The sequence below is a fragment of the Homo sapiens genome, chromosome 1 (genome assembly GCF_000001405.40).
Source record: "Homo sapiens chromosome 1, GRCh38.p14 Primary Assembly".
Lineage (NCBI taxonomy): Eukaryota > Metazoa > Chordata > Mammalia > Primates > Hominidae > Homo > Homo sapiens.
Window position 1 is genome coordinate 168,253,022 of NC_000001.11, and position 4,111 is coordinate 168,257,132.

Below are 4,111 nucleotides of genomic sequence, written 5' to 3' on the forward strand. Positions count from 1 at the left end.
TAAATCTAGTGTTGTCTCTTACTCATGTCTGTATTTCCAGGAGTCTTTAAGCCAAAGGAAGACTGTAGAACTGTAAGAAAAAACCGTATCTTTAATTTGAATTCTCAGTGTGTAGCACACATTATAGGCACTTAAAGATGTTTTGGGGGACCTAACCTGACATGTAGTCCTCTCTTTTAAATGACTTAGGGTTTCACATGGGTCTAGGGACAGTTTGGAAGGTTTTTAAAAAGTAAGACATTTCCTTAAGTGTTTATTTTGGAAAAAAAATACACACACACATACATACATACATACATACATACAAACAAATAAATATATATATTTTTGAGATGGAGTCTCACTCTGCTGCCCAGGCTGGAATGCAGTGGTGTGTTCTTGGCTCACTGCAACCTCGGCCTCCCAGGTTCAAGTGATTCTTGTGCCTCAGCCTCCGAAGTAGCTGGGATTACAGTAGCGCACCACACCCAGCTAATTTTTGTATTTTTAGTAGAGACGAGGTTTCACCATGTTGGCCAGGCTGGTCCTGAACTCCTGACCTCAGGTGATCCACCTGCCTCAGCTTCCCAAAGTGCTGGGATTATAGACCTGAGCCACTGTGCCTGGCCTATTTTGGTATATTCCTACACACCTAGCTGGTTTAGTTATTTTGTGTAAAGTAGGTTGTCTAATTGGTGTAAAGTTGTTCATGATGTTTCCCTATTTTAATATTTGTAAGATTTCTACTTATGTCCTTTCTTTCATTGCTAATGTTGGTAATTTGAGCCTTCTCTTGCCTTGCTTAGTGTAGGTAGAAGGTTGGCAGCTTTTTTCATTGATCTTTTCAAAGGCAACTTGGTTAAGATTTGAACACACAAAGCCAGATATGTGAATGGCCAACAGATGTATCTAGTACCTATTGTGTTATCATATGAAGTTTAAGAAAATAGGTAAAATAACTCTGGACTTTCAAGTTCTTTGGTGCTTCCATTGGTGATAAAATAATGAAAAGCAAGGAAGTTATTTGCGTGAGTTAGAATAGTCATTACTTTGAGAGGGACAGAGAGAATAGGGATTGGGAGGGGAAATGATGTGAGGGTGCCTCTGGGTGCTGGTCATGGTCTTTTTTCAAAGACCATGTGGTAGTTCAATGGTATTTGATAAATCATTGTGCTATATATGTATTTTTTTGTTTGTGTACTTTTCTATTGTGTTATGTTTTACAATAAAAGAACCAGTATTTGGATTCATTGATTTTCAATGTTCATTGTCTATTATTTGATTTTTTCCTCTTATTTTCTTTCTTTTTTTTTTTTTTTGAGATGGAGTTTTGCTCTCGTTGCCCAGGCTGGAGTGCAATGGCATGATCTCGGCTCACTGCAACCTCTGCCTCCCGGGTTCGAGAGATTCTTCTGCTTCAGCCTCCTGAGTAGCTGGGATGATAGGCATGTGCCACCACACCTGGCTAATTTTGTATTTTTTTAGTAGAGATGGGTTTTTCCATGTTGGTCAGACTGGTCTCGAACTCCTGACCTCAGGTGATCCGTCTGCCTCATCCTCCCAAAGTGCTGGGATTACAGGCATGAGCCACCACACCCGGCCTATTTTCTTTCTTACACATACTTTGGGTTTAATTTGTTCTGTAGCTATTTAAAGTAGAAGCCTAAACCATTGATTTTTACGTCTTTTTTCTAATAGCATTTAAGCCATAAATTTCCTTTTCAGCACTGCATTAGCTGTATCTTACAAATTTTTATATACTGTGTTTTTAATTCAATTCAAAATATTTTCTTGTCTTCTGTGATTTCTTTTTTGACTCATTGATTACTTATAAGCATGTTAACTTCTAAACATTTGGGGATTTTGCAGATCTCTTGATTTCTAATTTAATTTCATTATAGTCAGAATATAGTCTCAATTATTTTAATCCTTTTCAATTTATTGTGACTTATTTTATGGCCTACCATCTTAGTCTAAATAAATAAATAAGCTTGATGTGGTGATGCGCTCCTATAGTCCAGCTACTGAGGAGGCTGAGGTGGGAGGCTCCCTTGAGCAAAGTAGTTTGAGGCTGTGGTGAGCTATGGTCGTGCCATTGCATTCCAGCCTAGATGACAGAGCGAGACCCTGTCTCTAGACAAAACAAACCCCTAGATCATCTAGGTTTTCTCCTATGTTATTATCTTGTAGGAGTTTTATAGTTTTTTACTTTACATTTAGCCTCTGTGATTCATTTTTTTTTTTCATGTCCAGGTCTAGCCTCATTTGTTAAAAAGATGATCTTTGTTCCATTGTATTTCCTTTGCTTCTTTGTCAAAGACCAGTTGATTATGTTTATGTGGGTCTATTTATGGGTTCTGAATTCTGTTCCTTTGATATGTTTGTCTATTCTTTCATCAATACCACACTGCCTTAATTACTGTAGCTTTGTAGTAAGTCTTGAAGTAAGGTAGTGTCAGTTCTCCAACTTAGTTTTTCTCCTTTAATATTGTGTTGGCTATTCAAGGTCTTTTTGCCTCTCCATATAAACTTTAGAATTCATTTTTAAAAATATTTATACAAAATAACTTGCCAGGTTTTTGACTGGGATTGCCATGAATCTATAGCTCATGTTGGGAAGAATTGATGTTATGAAAATATTAAGGTTTTGTTTTGTCTTTTTTCTGAGACAGGGTTTCACTCTATTGCCCAGGCTGGAGTGCAGTGGTGTGATCATGGCTCACTGCAGCCTTGATCCTTGACTCAAGTGATCCTCTGCCCCAGCTTGCTGAGTAGCTGGGACTACAGGAGCACACCACTATGCCTGGCAAATTTTTAAATTTTTTGGAGAGACAGAGTCTCACATGTTCCCCAGGCTGGTCTCGAATTCTTGGGCTCAAGTGATTCTCCTGCCTTGGCCTCCCGACATGCCGGGATTACAGGTGTTAGCCACCATGACTGGCCAAATATTAACTCTTCCTATTCATGAACATGGTATATCTCTCCATTTAGTTAGTTCTTTAACTTCTGTCATCAGAGCTTTTAAGGTTTCCTTATACAGATTTTGTACATATTTTGTTTGATTTATACCTAAGTATTTTATGTTTTCGGAGGCTAACATAAGTTGTATTGTGTTTTTAAATTCAAATTCCACTTGCTCATTGCTGGTATATAGGAAAGCAATTGACTTTTGTATATTAACCTTGTGTCCTGTAACCTTACTATAATTGCTTACTAGTTCCAGGATTTTTTTGTTGATTCTTTTGGATTTTTGACATAGACTACCCTGTCATGTATGAACAAAGTTTTATTTCTTCCTTCCCAGTCCGTATCCCTTTTATTTCCTTTTCTTGTCTTATTGCATTAGCTAGGACTTCCAGTATGATGATAAAAAGGAGTGGTGAGAGGGGACATCCTTGCCATTATGGTCTTAAACCTTAAGTTTCTTAACCTTAAGTTTCTCACCATGAAGTATAATGTTAGCTATAGGTTTTTAATGGATATTCTTGATCAAATTGAGGAAGTTCCCCTCTATTCCTAGTTTCCTGAGAGTTTTTATCATGGGTGGGTATTGGACTTCGTCAAAGGCTTTTTCTGCATCTATTGATACGATCATAGGCTGGGTGCAGTGGCTCATGCCTGTAATCTCAGCATTTTGGGAGGCTGAGGTGGGTGGATCACATGAGGCCAGGAGTTCAAGGCCAGCCTGGCCAACATGGCAAAATCTTGTCTCTACTAAAAATACGAAAAAAGTTAGCTGGGTGTGGTGGCCCACACCTGTAATCCCAGCAACCTGGGAGGCTGAGGCACAAGAATCACTTGAAACTGGGAGGCAGAGGTTGCAGTGAGCCAAGATTGTTCCACTACACTCCAGCCTAGGACAGAGTGAGACTCTGTCTAAAAAAACAAAAAACAAACAACAACAACAAAAAAGATAATCGTGTTATTTTTCTTCTTTAACCTGTTGATGTGATAGATTATGTTAATTGATTTCTGAATGTTGAACCAGCCTTGCATACTTGGGATAAATCTCATGGTTGTGATATATAATTCTTTTTTACATTCTTGGACTTAATATGTTAATATTTTGTAGAGGATTTTTGTATCTATGTTCATGAGAGATACTGGTCTGTAGTTTTCTTTTCTTGTAATG